At 45.7% G+C, this 18,950-nt stretch overlaps 1 protein-coding gene across 2 annotated transcripts in view; it reads right to left on the reverse strand.

The window, feature by feature from the left end:
• Positions 1-1,161: 1,161 nt before the first annotated feature.
• Positions 1,162-18,950, reverse strand: part of FBXO16 (F-box protein 16) — a 61,818-nt gene continuing 44,029 nt past the window's right edge. For both annotated transcript variants that reach the window (NM_001258211.2, NM_172366.4), the window contains 2 exons: positions 2,128-2,153; positions 1,162-1,486 (listed from right to left, as the gene is read on the reverse strand). In NM_001258211.2, the coding sequence (NP_001245140.1) occupies positions 1,477-1,486; positions 2,128-2,153 (36 nt within the window). In that variant the 3' untranslated portion in view covers positions 1,162-1,476. The remainder of the gene's footprint in view (positions 1,487-2,127; positions 2,154-18,950) is intronic.

Raw genomic sequence — 18,950 nt, forward strand, 5'->3', positions numbered from 1 at the left:
CAACCTCTGCCTTCCGGGCTCAAGAGATTCTCATCATGCCTCAGCCTCCAGAGTAGCTAGGACTACAGGCATGTACCACCATGCCAAGCTAATTTTTTCTTTTCTTTTTTTCTTTCTTTTTTTTTTTTTTTTTTTGTGAGATGGGGTTTCACCATGTTGCCCAGGCTGGTCTTGAACTCAGGGGCTCAAGCGATATGCCCACCTCAGCCTCCCAAAGTGCTAGGATTACAGGTGTGAACCACTGTACCCGGCTCCTTCTTCACCCTCTTAACTCTGCCCACAGCATGTGTTATGGGCTACACTATGTCTCCCACAAATTCTATGCGGAAATCTTAACCCCTGGGACCCCAGAATGTGACTGTATTTGGAGATAGAGTCTTTAAAGAGATGGTTAGGGTTAAATGAGGTGGTTAGGGTGGGCTGTAACCCAATAGGACTGGCATCCTTTTAAGAAGAAATTAAGGCCAGGCGTGGTGGCTCACACCTGTAATCCCAGCACTTTGGGAGGCCAAGGCCAGTGGATCACCTGAGGTCAGGAGTTCGAGACCAGCCTGGCCAATATGGTGAAACCCCGTCTCTACTAAAAATACAAAAAATTAGCTGGGTGTCGTGGCAGGTGCCTGTAATCCCAGCTACTCCAGAGGCTGAGGTGGGAGAATTGCTTGAACCCGGGAGGCAGAGGTTGCAGTGAGCCGAAGTTGTGCCATTACACTCCAGCCTGGGCAAAAAGAGCAAAACTCCATCTCAGAAAAGAAAAAAAAAAATAAAAAAATAAAGAAGGAGAAGGAAAAATTAAGAAACAGACACATACAGAGGGATGACCACATGAGAATGCAGGGAGAAGACGGCATCTACAAGCCCAGAGAGAGGCCTCAGAAGAAACCAACCCTGCCAGATCTTGGACGTCTAGCTTCCAGAACCGCAAGGAAATAAATTTCTGTTGTCGAAGGTTCCCGGTCTGTGGTGCAGCCCTAGCAAACTAAGATACCACGGTAAACAGCCCCTCCATTCAACTGCTCATGCAGCCTTGGGAGTGAGCCTGTAGCCTTCTGGGACCTGCCTCACCCACCCAATATTACCAATGGTGCCATCATATGTCCCATCACCAACCTCATGATATCTATCATCATGTTTCTACATCCGTAAATCTGTCCACATTTATGCCATGAATTCCTTTTTACTGAAATACCGTAGGACTCACTACCACAATAAGTACTTAAGCTGAAAGAGTTTCTAATGGGAGCCAAGTAAATTCAGCTCTCCACTGTGCAAAGCATCTTGTCATTTCTATAATAAAAGTCTTTCCATGTTCAGTCCACTTTGGCTCTGGAACCTGGATGAGTCATGCTTGGGGCCCAGGGTGCCTGTGAGGATGCTGCATGAGAATTTCAGCTGTGGTGGCAGTGTCTGGGAGTCCCACTGACTCAGGGGGAGGCCAGGCGAGATGAGCTGGAACTTTTAGGGGAGAGCTGGCACTTAGGGACATCTAGAAAGGAAAAAGGAATCATGAAAGCGAGGGTTATTGAAATACCAAGGGAGCTATCTAGTTAAACTTATTTTTAATGACATAAAACGATTTTACAAAATTATAGGGCTGGATGGGATTTATTGAGATTTCCCAACTTCACTCCCCTCTGCCCCCATGCAATCTTCACCCTGAGCTACAGATAATACGGTCTTTAGCGTCCAAAGTGCTCTCACTAACTTTATTTCATCTGAACCTCAAGATCACATGTGGTAGAGAGGATAGTATTAATAAGTTTCATTTTGCAAATAAATGAAACTGAGGAATTTGAGTGACAGTCCAAGTTCACACCGCTAAAAAGTGTCACAGCTGGGGCTAGAGACTTGGGATTTTTAGATGAGAGTATTGACATCATTCCCATATTTTAATTTTAAATATTTTTTAAAATAGATATTTTTTAGAGATGAGGTCTCCCTATGTTGCCCAGGCTGGTCTTGAATTCTTTGATCCTCTCGCCTCTGCCTCCCAAAGTGCTGAGATTATCAGCGTGAGCCACTGTGCCCAGCCTGTTCCCATAATTTACACTCTCCATTAATCAATACATGCACACGATCTCTCTAAAAAGGCAAATGTCACAGGTTGATATCACAACCGAAACTCACAGTGGGAAGGGATTTCTCCTCGACATCTGGCCGCGAGCAGGAAAGGGAAGAGAATGGAGAGAGGAAAAGAAAGAAATAATCCGAGCTGAGCTTGAAGGGAGAGAGAGTGAGGCACTCTTCAAAGTTCGCCCTTATCTTGGTTCCAACTGTGCAAGGAGAGACCTAAGAGGATTGGGCTGAACACAGATATCGTAGCCTCCCCCAAGCACAATGCCCCCCCGTTACTCCATACTAAGCTGGCAAGTCACAGGAGTCAGATCAGAGTCCTTGTCACATCTCTCTAACACCGTGGTGGGTGGGTATGTTTGCAATACACAGGGTTTCTGTAAGTCTATGAAAATCCTACTTTAGACTTTCTTTGACTCATCAATGATATCCGCCGATGACAGCTCCCTGGTCTTCCCCTCCAGCTAACGTGCTCCCTCTCATTCCACAAGGAAGCTCCACACCTGCCTGAAGTGCTCTCTGCAGTCCTCCCGTAAGTCTAACCTGTCCTTCCAGGCCTGCCTTCCTGCAAGAAGCTTGCATGTCTCCATCCACAGGAAGTTTCCAGCAGGTGGATTCCCGAAGCCTTTATTATTGACTTCTCTGGCTTTGTGTTGAACGTATGCTCTAAAGCATTAGTACTCACTTCTAAGTGTAATTCTTTGTCCCCCAATGAGGCTGCAAACTCCCTGCAAGCAAAACTGAAATCTGTATTTTATTTTATTTTTGAGACAGGGTCTCACTCGGTCTCCAAGGCTGGAGTGCAGTGGCATAATCACAGCTCACTGCAGCCTTGACCTCCTGGGTTCAAGCAATCCTCCCACCTCAGCCTCCCGAGTAGCTGGGACTACAGGTATGCACAACCATGCCTGGCTAATTTTTTTACTTTTTCTTTTGTAGAGATGAGGGTCTTCCTATGTTGCCTAGGCTGGTCCTGAACTCCCGAGCTCAAGCAATCCTCCCGCTTTGGCCTTCCAAAGTGCTGGGATTACAGGCCCACTGTGCCCGGCCAAAGCTGAAAGCTTACACTTCATTGAATCGACAGGTGTCTGCCTATAGTAGGTGCAGACATGTTTGTTGATTTTTCTGGGAAAGAGTGGGCAAAACTGGGGTTAAAGTAGCAAGTTGTTAGCATCGAAAAGGAAAAGGGGTAAGAGATGGGAGTAAATAATCTTCCCTCGTTTGAAGTTTTCGGTGTTGTTTAAGGTCCCTGTAGCAGAAGTATTTTCATTGCTGTTTCAAGATCAGCATAAGGTAAGAAAATAAACAGGAAGCTTCCTCTATGCTCTTTTAGTAACAATGAAGATAAAAATAATACCTGTTGAATGGCCAGGCGCAGTGGCTCATGCCTGTAATCCTAGCACTTTGGGAGGCCAAGGCGGGCGGATCACCTGAGATCAGGAGTTGAGACCAGCCTGGCCAACATGGTGAAACCCTGTCTCTACTAAAAATGAAAAAAACTAGCTGGGCATGGTGGTGGGTGCCTGTAATCCCAGCTACTCAGGAGACTGAGGCAGGAGAATCTCTTGAACCTGGGAGGCAGAGGTGACAGTGAGCAAGACCGCGCCATTGCACTCCAGCCTGGGCAACATGAGTGAAACTCCATCTCAAAAAATATAAATAAATAAAATAAAATAATACCTGTTAAATGAAGAAAAGGCCTAGCTCTCTATGACACAAGAATGGGCTAGTCACATCTCACCTGTAACAGTTTCAAATTTAACCCTATTACCATGCAACGCTTATCTGTCACTGCATTTGCAAAACCCCTTTCTCCTGAGTCCCCGGGCAGTTCACAGGTCCAGGCAGGCTCCTCACAGCCCTCCCTTTTCACCATGGCAGGCCCCAGGGCCTCCCCTGCTCTCCTCTCCTCTTGGTAGCTGTCACCACCCATCCAGACTATGGCATTTCTCGTCCCTCCAAGATGGGCTGAGGGAAGATGGTCTCCTTCGGCCACCATTCCTTGTGGTCCCGGAACACAAGCTGACAGACCCTCTTCATTTTGAGACTTTCATGTCCATTATTACAAGAGAAAAGACAAGATTTAAGGGAGAAAACATGGGGAAGTCCTATAAATGGGTAAAAATCTTTCTGGATCCTGCTCTATAGCACCTGACTATCTGGCTGAAATAACTAGAAGTTTCTTCTATACCAATGTTGGGGTCTCCAAAACCTTTTCTTTCCTACTGATCTTTTCCCTTGGCTGTGAATCCACCCCCACCTTCTTCCCCCAGAAAGGTCCGTCTTCATAGCACATAGACTTAACAGCAAGAAGCATCTTAGCGGGCTAACTGAGGACTAGTTTCACATGGTTTAACTTCTGAGCACCTCCAGACGCGGCAAGGCACATTTCATGACACCTCTATTCTCTGTGAGAATCTTCCCTAAAGGGCATCTTCCTATGGCTCCTCAGGGATTATTTTTGCTTTTCTCACTCTTTGAAAATAATTAAGCTTGTTCATTTTTTGAATAGGTTACTTTTCTACATAGCTCAATATTCAAAAATTACAAAAGCATTCAGCGAAAAATCTCCCCCCACCTCATCCTTGAGCCTCCTAGTTCCTTTTCTCAAAGTTACCAGGGTTGTGTTTTTTTTTCTGTTTTGTTTTTGGTTTTGTCTACTTCCAGTGATACTGCATATGTAGTGAGCAAACGTAGACATAAAACGCAAATGTACTGTCCCCCTTTCCTTTTTCACACAACTGGCAGCATGCTGTGAACACCACTGCTGTTTGCTCACTATATATGTGAGAGGCTATGTATGGAGTGTGTGTGTGTGTGTGTGTGTGTGTGTGTGTGTGTGTGTGACTGTTACAAATCAATACACGAGGCCGGGTGCAGTGGCTCACGCCTGTAATCCCAGCACTTTGGGAGGCCGATGTGGGCGGATCACCTGAGGTCAGGAGTTCGAGACCAGCCTGGCCAACATGGTGAAACCCTATCCCTACTAAAAATACAAAAATTAGCGGGGCGTGGTGGCGGGTGCCTGTAATCCCAGCTACTCAGGAGGCTGAGGCAGGAGAATCGCTTGAACCTGGGAGTCGGAGGTTGCAGTGAGCCAAGATTGCACCACTGCACTCCAGCCTGGGCAATGGAGTGAGACTCCATCTCAAAACAAAACAAAACAAAACAAAACAACAACAACAACAAAAACCCAAATTAATACAGGAAGAACTTCCCTAGTCTTTCAATGGCTGTAGAGCAGTTCACATCCAGATGAACCATACCGATAGATATTTGGGCCATTTTCAACGTTTGCTTTCACAAACGACACCAACATGAATGACCCTTTACGAATGTGCAGCCTCCTCTGCTGCAGCTGTCTGCTTTCTGGTAGGTGGACGTTGCCAATGGCCATGCCGTCCATCAGCATTCCTAGTGCTGCCCTGGAACACCATCATAAGAATATTCCAGCCAGGCATGGTGGCTCACGCCTGTAATCCCAGCACTTTGGGAGGCCAAGGCGGGTGGATCACCTAAGGTCAGGCATTCGAGACCAGCCTAGCAAACATGGTGAAACCCCATCTCTACTAAAAATACCAAAGAAATTTAGCGGGGCGTGGTGGTGCACTCCTGTAATCCCAGCTACTTGGGAGGCCGAGACAGGAGAATCACTTGAACTTGGGAGGCGGAGGTTGCAGTGAGCCGAGATTGCACCACTGCACTCCAGCCTCGGCGACAGAGTGAGACTTCGTCCAAAAAAAAAAAAAACAAACAAAAAACAAACAAACAAACAAAACATAACAACAACAACAAAATAATTTTCCTATCCTCCATCTGTCCCTATGAAGAGGGATGGGATCAGGTAATTCAAAGATATTTTTCTCATCAGTTGAGCTTTCTGTTCTTTTTCTAGAGGTATTTACCCAATATCCTGATGTGCCGTTATAGTGTCTTTAAAGCGAAGGAAATAGAAGAGAAATGCAATGCCATGCGTTTGACATTGGAATTCTCCAGGGTTCTGTTCTTGGCCTGCTTCCTGGCCAATCAGCGCCTGAATCTTCCATGGCTGGATGTGTTTCTGTTGCCCTGCTGTTCCCCTGGGCTCCGGGCCCATCTATTCAGCCCTCTTCTGAACTCGTATACTTGTGGTCCCATAGGTACCTCCAACCTGATATTTCCTGCTAGGTTTCCAGTACCAGTGGGGAGAGGCATGAACCTTAATACAACTGCCTGCCCAAGATTCCCGGGACTTTTCCCTTCCTGGGCCGGAAGCTCTCCCCTGTAGCCTGGAAGCTCTTGAGGGCAGGGGCTGTATCTTATGATTATCTCCCTAGGGCTAGTTCAGTGCCTGTAAAATCCTTGTTCATTAATGATAAACATACCAATGCTTCCTTCTTCTTTCTCATCTCAGGGCAATGGCTGAAACAACCTTGCAGGTGGACTTTGCATGGGGATAGAAAATTCCTTTTTTCAGGCTGGATGCCATTTTATTGGGCACAGAGAAGTGGGTGAGAATGCCAAGAGGCTATTGAGGGTGAGGGGCCCAAGAAAGACGAGGGTCCCACAGGAGGCTAAGGCCCAAGAAGAGGTAGAAACAGGAACAGCCTGTATATACCAGCTTGTCTACAGACCTGTGTTTTTCACTCCCTGATTTTTTTTTTTTTTTTTTTTTTGAGATAGAGTCTCACTCTGGTGCCGAGGCTGGAGTGCAGTGGCACGATCTCAGCTCACTGCAACCTCTGCCTCCTGGGCTCAAGCTATTCTTCTGCCTCAGCCTACTGAGTAGCTGGGATTCCAGGCACCTGCCACCACACCCAACTAATTTTTGTATTTTTGGTAGAGACGGGGTTTCACCACGTTGGCCAGGCTGGTCTTGAACTCCTGACCTCAGGTGATCTGCCCACCTTGGCCTCCCAAAGTGCTGGGATTACAGGTGTGAACCACTGCACCTGGCCCCTGATTGATTTTTTTGTTTGTTGTCCATTCATGTTATTTGCAGACATCTGCAAACGATCACTGATGCAAACAACACCATTGGATCAACCCAAGGATCAGTTAAGTGAACACATTAGGTAAAGAAGCAAGTGGATGTGGAAAATAGATAAATATAGTAACAACAATGACAGCACCTGCTTTGTGCCAGTCCTTCTTCTAGGAATACCAATGACAGTAATAACTGCAAATACCTGACAGCCAGGCATTGTGCTAACATGCATTTATTAATTCATTTCTTCTTCACAACATGCCTGTGATGTGGTAAAGAATCTTACCACATCTTCACTTTTTGTGACAATCTTCACTTTGTAGAAGATTCACCTCCTCCCTTTAAAAAAATCTCCCTCTCAACGTTTTATTATGACTCCCAGTTGAGGAGTTGATGCAGGATTTTTCTCGGCCCCTTTGCCAGACTTGCAGCAGGGGTGCCCTGTCTACTGGGCCTGCTGTGCTCAGCCCCTTGCGGGAGGGAGCATGCGAGTGAGTGAGTGAGTGCGGGACCCAGTCGGCCGCTCTAAGCTCAAACACAGGAGCAAGCTCCGTGCAGGGCCCGAGGCCAGGCCAGGCATGTTACCTCAAGGGAACGTGGTGGCTCCCAGACAAGGGTGCCCATGACCCTGAAGCCCCAGAGGGGGTGTCAGTGTGCTAATTAGCTCTTTTAGTTCCGTTGTCCATAGCCCAATGGACGGCAGCATGTTAGCAGCTCAGTCGGCCCCTGGCCCTGTCGTGTGGGGCAGCTGCCCTCCACTGGTGAGGGCAAAAGGCCAGTGTGACAACCTTTTTGGTACCCACACTTGGTGGGTCCTGAGCTCTTGCCCAGCATCCGAGAAGAATGAGGTCACACTGACAACTGAAGGGTGATGAGGGCAGATTTTTTTTTTTTTTTTGAGACGGAGTTTCACTCTTGTTGCCCAGGCTGGAGTGCAATGGTGCGATCCTGGCTCACTGCAACCTCTGCCTCCCAAGTTCAAGTGATTCTCCTGCCTCAGCCTCCCGAGTAGCTGGGATTACAGGCACCTACCACCATACCCAGCTAATTTTTTTTGTATTTTTAGCAGAGATGGGGTTTCACCATGTTGGCCAGGCTGGTCTTGAACTCCTGACCTCAGGTGATCTGCCCACCTCGGCCTCCCAAAGTGCTGGGGTTATAGGTGTGAGCCACCGTGCCTGGCCTGAGGGCAGGTAATTTTATTGAGGACAGAACAGCTCTCAGCAAAGAGGGGATGCAGAGGGGTAAGGAAATGCCCCACCCCCACAGTTGGGTGGTTTCTCTCTCCCCACGTGGCTGGGTCAGGGCTTTTTATGGACTCAGAATGGGGAGTGCATGCTGATTGGTTTGTGAGTATACAGAAAAGGTTAAAGCAAAGACACCATTCAAAGGTGGGCACAATGTTGTAGAAAACCGATTAGGAAAGGGTAGGTACATGTAAAATAGGTGAAGGGTGGGGATCAATCAGGGGAAAGCACGCCAAATGGGAAGACAGATTCTCAATTGGTCTGTGGATTTGACTTGTAGCGTGGCTTTCAGGCTTTCAACTGTCTATAGCTTGGCGGTGGGATTTCACCAGGGACCCACCCCTATCTGTCCAGGCATTTGGCTGCCTCCTGCTGCTATCAGAGTGATGTGGTAATATTGTATATAAATATGGATTATTGTGTTTGAAAAACATAAAATCAGAAGTTGTTGGTTTTAGCAGTGCAAGCACAGTTTAAACTCACCCCTGTAAATTGCCTAAAGCATAGGTTGGGGGCTGAGGTCATGGGTAGAGACAAAGGCTCAGAGTGCAGAGGAGATGGCTGAGGAGGTCCTCCCTCGGGGGCCTTCTTCTAAGAAGAAGGCCTAAGAGGCTGATGCTAGTCCCAGTCCCAGCTTCATCCGGTTGATAGGATGCTTAATCCTCAGGATGGAGTTGCTTCAAGGACTTTCCATCTAGGAATTCTGGGGAAGGACCCCTGCTGTCTCCTGTCTGCTCAGGAGCCCAGAAAGCTGCTCAGTCCTGTAGGGACACCTTCCAGAGGGCCCTGCTTTGGCCAACGCCTATGAGCAAAACATTCCCTTTTACTCCCCGCTTATGCTTCTGGCGGAAACAGAGGCAAGGTGTTAGAAAGAAATAACCAACGCAGTTTTAAAGAATCCACAGGCCTGGCTTTGTGTTTGTTTTATCTTTTAAGTAACCTTGGGGTAATATTTTTAGCTGCAGAGGAAGGCTAAGCAACTCGAGCCAGGGTTTTGAAATTCAAATCCAAGACTATGTGACTACATCTTTCAGCCTTCCAAGTAGGTGAAATAGGTAGGGATGGTGCAAATGTTCAAAGGCCATAAGGTCTGAGTGAACTCATATTTCAAAACACCTGTGTCTTAAAAAATTGGCTTCCAGTGTAGTTTGTGGTGAAATACCATATTACGAAACACACATACACACACACATGCTACATACATATATCTTATTTTATGTTATATATATATTTTTAAGACAGGGTCTCACTGTCACCCAGGCTGAAGTGCAGTAGTACAATCATAGCTCACTGCAGCCTCGACCTCTCAGGCTCAAGCAATCCTCCCACCTGAGCCTCCCCAGTAGCTGGGACCACAGGTGTGCACCACCATACCTAGCTAACTTTCATTTTTTGTAGAGATTGGTGGGGCCTCATTATGTTACCCAGGCTCATCTCAAACTCCTGGACTCAAGTGATCCCCCTGCCTCAGCCTCCCAAAGTGCTGGGATTACAGGCATGAGCCACTGCATCCAACCTACATACATATATATTAAACCCCAATGGTAACAGTGACTAAAGCATGTTATAACAAATACGTATATAACTAATAATATTACATAAATCACAAACACAGTTCTCTTCTGGTAGGTCCTGAATAGAAGTTAATTTGTGTCACATATTTTGTGTTAAAATAAAAACAAATAGCCATTTGGCATTGGTCTAAATGCTAAGTGAACGAGAGCAGGTAGAATCATTTCCATTGGAAATGCCACAGTAATTTATTATGGATAGCCTGATGAAACAAGAGGCAACAAGACACAACAAGTAAACTCGGCTCTCTTCCAGGCAAAGGAGAAATGCAAAGACTCCAAGTAGCGGGCTCACCTGAGAGTTGATTTTGCCCCCAGGATTCTTCCCAGGGAGGCTTATTCATCTTTTAGGTATCAAAAATTAACAACAACCAAGATTGTAGTTCTTAGGCTGTGGAGTGCACATAGCACATAATCCATGGCACTGAGTTCAACACACATGCATTCTTCAGTCTAGGAGCATGGAGTAAGAAACAAAACACTGGCTAGGCGCCGTGACCCACACCTGTCATCCCAGTGCTCGGGGAGGCCAAGGCGGGAGGACTGCTTGAGGCCAGGAATTCAAGAACAGCCTGGGCAACATAGTGAGACCCTGTCTCTACCAAAATTTGAAAAATTAACCAGGTGTGGTGGTGTGCATCTGTAGTCCTAGCTACTCAGGAGGCTAAGGCAGGAAGATCACTTGAGCCCAGGAGGTCAAAGCTGCAGTGAGCTCTGATTGCACTGCTCCAGTCCAGAATGGGCAACAGAGCGAGACTCTGTCTCTAAAAAAAGAACAAGAAAAAACAAGAAACACCACAATGATGAGGAGTCCACACGTAGGCACAAGACTATACGGAGGCCATGTAGGAGCTGAAAATATGTGGCTTATATTCCACACAGCTATTGATGCAACTGTTTCTTACACAGTGGAAACTGACTATAAGGGCCAGGTGCAGTGGCTCACATCTGTAATCTCAGCACTTTGGGAGGCTGAAGCAGGCAGATAGCTTGAGACCCGGAGCTCGAGACCAGCCTGGGCAACATGGAGAAACCCCGTCTCTACTAAAAATACAAAAATTAGCCAGGCGTGGTGGTACACACCTGTAATCCCAGCTACTTGGGAGGCTGAGGCATGAGAATTACTTGAACCTGAGAGGCAGAGGCTGCAGTGACCCAAGATTGCATCACTGCATTCCGGCCTGGGCAACAGAGTGAGACTGTGTCTAAAAAAATAAATAAAATAAAAACTAAATGAAACTGACTATAAGGAAGAGAAAAGACAAAGGGGGAAGAAGAAGAGAAATGGGGACGGTCAAGGAAAAAGCAAAAAGGAGACTCTTGTTCTATGGGCCAGGGCCTCCCACCAATGCCTTCTGGCTGCCTGGCAGGTCCCTCCTCCACCTGTCTCTCAGCCACAGCTCACCATCAGATTTCTCTCATCTTTCCTTGTGGGCTCAGGGTGATGGCTTAGTATGATTTTTACTGCTGTTACTACTACTATTACTACCACTAGCTTTGAGCTAGGTACTGTGCTAATGCTTTACATCCTCCTCCCAATTCAGTGACGTTCGTTAGTCTTGTTACTAACTCCATGTTACACATGAGGAAAAAGAGGCTCAGAGAGGTTACACAACTTGGCCAAAATCACCAGACTACTAAAATAGTGGTACGATGGGCATTGAACTTAGGCTATTTGCATCCCAATCTGTGTCCTTAGAAAGCAAAATAGGCCAGGTGTGGTGGCTTATGCCTGTAATCCCAGCACTTTGGGAGGCTGAGGCAAATGGACTTCTTGAGGTCAGGAGTTTGAGACCAGACTAGCCAATATGGTGAAACCCCATCTCTACTAAAAATACAAAAATCAGCCGGGCGTGGTGGCAAGTGCCTGTAATCCAAGCTACTTGGGAGGCTGAGGCAGGAGAATCGTTTGAACCCAGGAGGCAGAGGTTGCAGTGAGATGGCCCCACTGCACTCCAGCCTGGGCAATAGAGTGAGAACCTGTCTCAAAAAAAAAAAAAAAGAAAAGAAAAGAAAAGAAAATAGAAAAATAATATTGAATGAGAGCACGAACACATATTACATGCTAAATATAATATACTGGGGATTTAGGTAGGTGTCATTATTCCCATTTTACAGATGAAGAAACTGAGGCCTAGAGAGGTTAAGTAACTTATCTGAAGTCATATTGTTTAGTACAAGAGCCCAGGTCTGTCTGACTGCAAAGCCCATATTCTTTGTTATTCTTCCTTCCAAATGGAATTCCCAGGAATTTCATTGCTTGAATTAAATAGTTAAAAACCTCTCCAATGGATATTTTTGGTTCTGCACATTCAAACCAAACAGACATTGTTATAAAATGAACACCCGGCCGTGCACAGTGGCTCATGCCTGTAATCCCAGCACTTTGGGAAGCTGAGGCAGGAGGATCGCTTGAGGCCGGGAGTTTGGGACGAGCCCAGGCAAAATAGCGAGACCCTGTCTCTACAAAAAATACCCCCAAAAACCACAATTAGCCAGACTTGGTGGTGCACAGGTCCCGGCTACCTGGGAGGCTGAGGTGGGAGGATCCCCTGAGCTCTGGGAGTTGTTGAGGCTGCAGTGAGCTGTGATCACGCCACTGCACTCCAGCCTGAGTGACAGAGTGAGACCCTGTCTCAAAAAAAAAAAAATTAAATTTAAATTTAAAAAACCCCCAACACCTGAGAAGTGCATCAGAATTTGATAAGAAGTATATCAAAGATTGCCTGCAAGGAAGCTTCTGCAGAAACTCTGTTCTATAAATTCTTCTGTTTTGGTTCATTATACTTCCTAAAGTTCAAAGAAAAAGACTGGAAACATAAAATAGTTTGTGTTGGTTTTAAATTAGGATTCATGAATGTAACGGATTTTTTTTTTTTTGTATTCTGCATAAAGCCATTTTAATTACAGCTGTGTTCTTCAGGCATCGGGGAGAAAGGGGTGTGAATGCTTAGAAACCCATGGGGCCCCATAGCAAACTCTCATTTTATTTTATTACTATTATTATTATTATTATTTATTTAAGTGCTCTGTCACCCAGGCTGGAATGCAGTGGCACAATCATGGCTCACTGCCCCCTTAACCTCCTGGGCTCAAGTGATCCTCCTACCTCAGCCTTCCAAGTGGCTGGGACTACAGGCATGCGACACCACACCTTGCTAATTATTTTATTTTTTTGCAGAGACAGGGTCTCACTATGTTGCCCAGGCTGGTCTCAAACTCCTGGCCTCAAGCCATCCTTCCACCTCGGCCTCCTCCATCCTTGGGGTTTCCCAGCCACTGGACCCACCAAACTCTCATTTTATAAATGAGGAAACAAAGACTCTGGGAATTTGAGTGACTACTCATTAGTGGTACAGTTGAAACTAGAACTGGGGTTTCCTGATTCTTAAACCATTGTTCATTCCACAATATGATCCAGGAATCACTTTAGAGTATATTCCTGTGTGTGGTTCCCCCCCACCCCTTTTGAGTGAAGGAAAAAAGGTGAGAAAGCTTGAAGAAGCACTTTAAAAAATCAGGACACTAAGAGTAAAGTTATCCCTGGAAAGAGGTGAAGAAGGTAATTTCAGAGGCTGGAATTAGCAGAGCACAGGAAAAGATAAGGGCTAATCTAAGGCAATCAGGGTAAGCAGGCAATTAAAGACTTTTGTTACTTGTATTTAAGTGAATGCTCTGAAACGGCAGGCTTTTTGAAATCCATGGCTGAACCAGGACCTAGAAAGTGAGGACATCTAACTCCCAAGTAAAAGTTCAGTGCTAGACAAAGGGTATTTGTGTTTATACTTGATAAAGGAAAAAACAAAGAAAAGAAACAAGATGTCAGCTAGGGTCCCCTTAGCCCAATTCCAGGGCCTCGGAAGTTCAAAGCCCATCTCCTTGTTTTCTGTGAATTGTCCTAAGGAGTGTTCATTTTCATAGCTTTCTAGACTTCTAAGATCTTGCTTCCATGTGTAAATGGAGTAGAATTTACTGCAGAGATGGAGGGAGGTATTTACATCCCAGTAACGGCAAACAGGTTTAATTGGAACAGGTGGTATCTAATACTGTTCCCGCCTCTCTCCCCTACCTAATGTTGGCTTCTCTCCTCCTCTTCCTCCTACCTCTTTCCTCCCTACTCCCTCTCCTCCTCCACCTCTTCCCTTCCAGGAGCAGAAACAACAAATTCGTCCCCTAATCTCTAGACCAGCAGGTTTTCCCTGCCTCTGAAGTCCTAGAGTCTGCTGACATCCTTGCTCTCAAGGCCTCCTCTCTCCCTATGAGTTTAGCAAAGTCTCTCCCTCAAGAAGACAGCTCCTTCCTTCCCTAAGAATTACATGCATCTGCTGTTAAAATTAAAAATATAGGGCTGGGCGCAGGGGCTCACGCCTGTAATCCCAGCACTTTGGGAGGCCAAGGTGGGTGGATCACCTGAGGTCAGGAGTTTGAGACCAGCCTGGCCAACATGGCGAAATCCTGTCTCTACTAAAAATACAAAAATTAGCCAAGCGTGGTGGCAGGTGCCTGTAGTCCCAGCTACTCAGGAGGCTGAGGCAGGAGAATCGCTTGAACCTGGGAGGTGGAGGTTGCAGTGAGCCGAGATCGCGCCATTGCACTCCAGCCTGGGCAACAAGAGTGAAACTCCGTCTCAAAAAAAAAAAAAAACTAAAAAAAAAATATTGTATGTCTTTACACAAGGTTGAAAATCTTTGAAGTTTAATGAAGATGGTATCTGACTACTGTGAAGTTTATATATATATATAATGTGTGTATATATATGTGTGTTTATATATATATATATAAACTCCACAGTGTATATATATATGTGTGTGTGTGTGTGTGTGTGTGTGTGTGTGTGTATTTTTTTTTTTTTTTTTGAGACAGTCTTGCTCTGTCACCCAGGCTGGAGTGCAGTGGCGCGATCTCAGCTCACTGCAACCTCTGCCTCCCGGGTTAAAGCGATTCTCCTGCCTCAGCCTCCCAAGTAGCTGGGATTACAGGCATGCACCACCATGCCTAATTTTTGTATTTTTAGTAGAGACAGGGTTTCACCACGTTGGCCAGGCCGGTCTCAAACTCCTGACTTCGTGATCTGCCCTCCTCGGCCTCCCAAAATGTTGGGATTACAGGCGTGAGCCACTGTGCCCGGCCGGAATTTGTATTTTTAATTGCTTTGTTTTATATGGAATCTTGTTCTCATAACTAATTGTAATGGGAGTGTCTTGACATTTACATAATTTTCATAAGGAGCCTTCAAAACTGTAAAGGATTAGCAATCAGGTCTAAGCTTTATTCCCATCTTTTTTCTTCTTTTTGAGACAGAGTCTTGCTCTGTCGCCCAGGCTGGAGCGCAATGGTGCGATCTCAAGCCACTGTAACCTCTGCTTCCTGGGTTCAAGTGATTCTCTTACCCCAGTCTCCCAAGTAGCTAAGATTACAGGTGCCCGCCACCACACTTGGCTAATTTTTGTATTTTTAGTAGAGATGGGGTTTCACCATGTTGGCCAGGCTAGTCTCAAACTCCTGACCTCAGGTGATCCGCCTGCCTCAGCCTCCCAAAGTGCTGGGATTACAGGTGTGAGCCACCTCGCCCAGCCCATCTTTCATCAATCATTCACCCTAAAAAGTGGTTAGACTAAGTGGTTCTGACTAAGGCAGCACTTGGGGTCCGCTTTAGAATCAAAAGCAGAAGAGCAAATCAGGCACACTTTCAAGGTGGCGGGTTTTGAAACCTCAAACTCATCAAATAATAGGAAACATGACAAGCTCACCGCAACATGTGCAAGATGTGAAACCGTTTCCCCAAGTATGGTTCTGTTTTTGGAGACAGCGCTCACATCTGAAGGCTCTAAGTAATGACAGGCAAAAAGGGAGGCTGGTGTCAGTGATCTGACAGCCACATCCCCAGAGAGATGGACTAAGGAATATTACTTGTACTTTTTTTTTTTTTTAGGTAGGGTCTCGCTCTGTCACCCAGGCTGGACTGCAGTGGTGAGATCATGGCTCACTACAGCTTCAAACTCCCGGGCTCAAGTGATCCTCCCACCTCAGCCTCCAGAGTAGCTGGAACTACAGGTGCATGCCCCTGCCATGCCCAGCTAATTAAAAAATGTTTTATTGTAGAGATGGGATTTTGCTGTGTTGCCCAGGCTAGTCTCAAACTCCTGGCCTCAATTATTCTCTCATCTCAGCCTCCCAAAGTGCTGGGATGACAGGTATGAGCCACTGCCCCCTGGCCATGTGTCCTCTTTTATTCTCCCATTATCTTCTCTCTTCCTGCCCTCTCCATTTAACAAAGCCTCTTTCCTGATATTAGGCGTGAGGAATCTTCAAGTGTTCAGGTCTCAGGTAACCTCCTAGGTTTGGGGGTCAGGGTTTGGGGGTATGTCACTTTCATCTTTGCCTTTAGAAGGTGCTCCCCTAAGTTTGTCCTGCTCACCTGCTTCTCTAGGTCCTCCTGAAATCTTCCTCCATAAACCTGTCCAAATGATGGGGGAACTTTCTGTCAGAGGTGTTTGAACCAGGGCAACTCCATCTTGAATAGGAGCTGGGTAAAATGAGGCTGAAACCTACTGGGCTTCACTCCCAGACGGTTAAGGCATTCTAAGTCACAGGATGAGATAGGAGGTCAGCACGAGATACAGGTCATAAAGACCTTAATGATAAAACAGGTTGCAATAAAAAAGCCGGCCAAAACCCACCAAAACCAAGATGGCGACAGGAATGACCTCTGGTCATACTCACTGCTACACTCCGATTACTGCCATGACAGTTTACAAATGCCATGGCAACGTCAGAAAATTACCCTATATGGTCTAAAAGCGGGAGACATGAATAATCCACCCCTTGTTTAGCATACAATCAACAAATAACCATAAAAATCGGCAACCAGCAGCCCTCGGGGCTGCTCTGTCTATGGAGTAGCCATTCTTTTATTTCTTTAGGTTCTTAATAAACTTGCTTTCACTGTATGAACTTGCACTAGATCCAAGAACCCTCTCTGGGGGTCTGGATCCAGACCCTTTCTGGTAACATTCATGTATCAAATGAATACATGATTTTCTGCACTGGAATCACACCTAGGCTGTGTCTAGTGTAACAAATTCACTCTATGGCGGCTGTTACCAGAGTTTTACCCTCACTTTCCTTTGTTCCCCTGACTGGATTTCCTCAGTATCCATTTCCTCTTCTCTTGCCTCACATCCAATATTTCTTCTTTTTTTTTTTTTTTTTTGAGACGGAGTCTTGCTCTGTCACCCAGGCTGGAGTGCAGTGGCGCGATCTCGGCTCACTGCAACCTCCGCCTCCAGGGTTCAAGCAATTCTCCTGCTTCAGCCTCCAGAGTAGCTGGTACTACAGGCGTGTGCCAACATGCCCGGCTAATTTTTTCTTTTCTTTTTTTTTTTTTTTTGAGACGGAGTCTTGCTCTGTTGCCCTGGCTGGAGTGCAGTGGCGTGATCTTGGCTCACTGCAGCCTCCGCCCTGGGTTCACGCCATTCTCCTGCCTCAGCCTCCCGAGTAGCTTGGACTACAAGCACCCGCCACTTCGCCGAGCTAATTTTTTGTATTTTTTTTAGTAGAGACGGGATTTCACCGTGTTAGCCAGGATGGTCTCGATCTCCTGACCTCACAATCTGCCCACCTCGGCCTCCCAAAGTGCTGGGATTACAGGTGTGAGCCACCGCGCCCGGACTTTTTTTTTTTTTTTTTTTTTTTTTGTATTTTTAGTAGAGACAGGGTTTCACCGTATTTGCCAGGATGGTCTCAATCCCCTAACCTCGTGATCCACCCACCTCGGCCTCCCAAAGTGCTGGGATTACAGGCGTGAGCCACCGTGCCCGGCCTATTTCTTCATTTTCACAATCATCTTGCATCACTTAGGAGGCCGATGAGGGCAAACTACCATCCTGTGGAGAGAGGAACTGAGTCACACCCGCCTTGTATCCCAAACAGCCAAGCTTGTCCTTGGCAAGCTCATCACCGGCATGAGTCAAAATATCGCAGCATACTTTTTGGGGGATTTAATGATGCCGTATGCTCTTTATCAAAACTACGAAACATAAATAGTGATTATAATTAGTATATTTACAAAAAACACAAGAATAGACAGATACAATCATGAGTCCCATTCACGAAGAGCTATTCTTCTCTCACTGCTTAATGTACCCTGGTTTCCCTTTCAGGCTTAATTAGCGCAACTTTTTAACTTTTTAATTTATAATGAATGCTTTCACTTAAGCAGTTCCTGCTAGGGTTTGACAGATGGTTAATGTCAAAAGCCCATGGGGATGGCTTAGCTTTGGGTTTTGTGTTTTCGAAGCAGGAGAAATGTTTGACTGTGCTGATAATTTCTCAGCATGTATCACCATCAACTTTTATTGTCCTTCAAATTCCCCGTTCTCCCATGGACTTCTCTTCCACTCCTTGCCTATCAGGGGCTGGAAACCAGGCAGAAGCACGACATAATGGCCCATGTGATAAGCCTCATAAAGTTATTTTTCTCAATTAATGGCTTCACTGACAATTTTACTGCTTTGCTCTAAGCTCCCCCGTTCCCTTGGGCATCAGGACACATGTCTATGGTAAGCCTCATCCAGTCCAACAAAACTGGCCCTACAGAATTCAGATGGCCCTGTTTAAAGAAGCTCATCTCTCTCTCTCTTTCTTTTTTCTTTTTTTTGCAACATAACACTTGAAAATACATTTTAACAGAAAGTAATAGAGCTTTAAAGCAGAGCTATAAAAGTGATTTATTCCTGAGTACGTACTTATTCCTCTCCCAGCTGACATCCATTTTATATTAATTTTCCTTGAGTGTGTATCTTCATCTCTTTTCTAAATCCTTACTACTATATATGAACTTTGAATTCCACCCTTATTCCTTTCTACTTCGTGCCAAAGACTTGCATAATGTGCTGAAAGAGAGCCACAGGGCTTCGGAGCCACGATTTGGGAAACTCTGCTAGGCAATGATAATGCTCCCTAGTCACAATTACTGGCTTTATTAGGTAGTCAATTCGCTGTTTTTTAATTAGGAAGGGAAAAGTTCTTAATTCATTTTTTCCAAAGTTACTTTAAATGCATTTTTCCTTTTTTTTTTTTTTTTTTTTTTTG

This window comes from Homo sapiens, chromosome 8 (assembly GCF_000001405.40).
Source record: "Homo sapiens chromosome 8, GRCh38.p14 Primary Assembly".
Classification (NCBI taxonomy): Eukaryota; Metazoa; Chordata; class Mammalia; order Primates; family Hominidae; genus Homo; species Homo sapiens.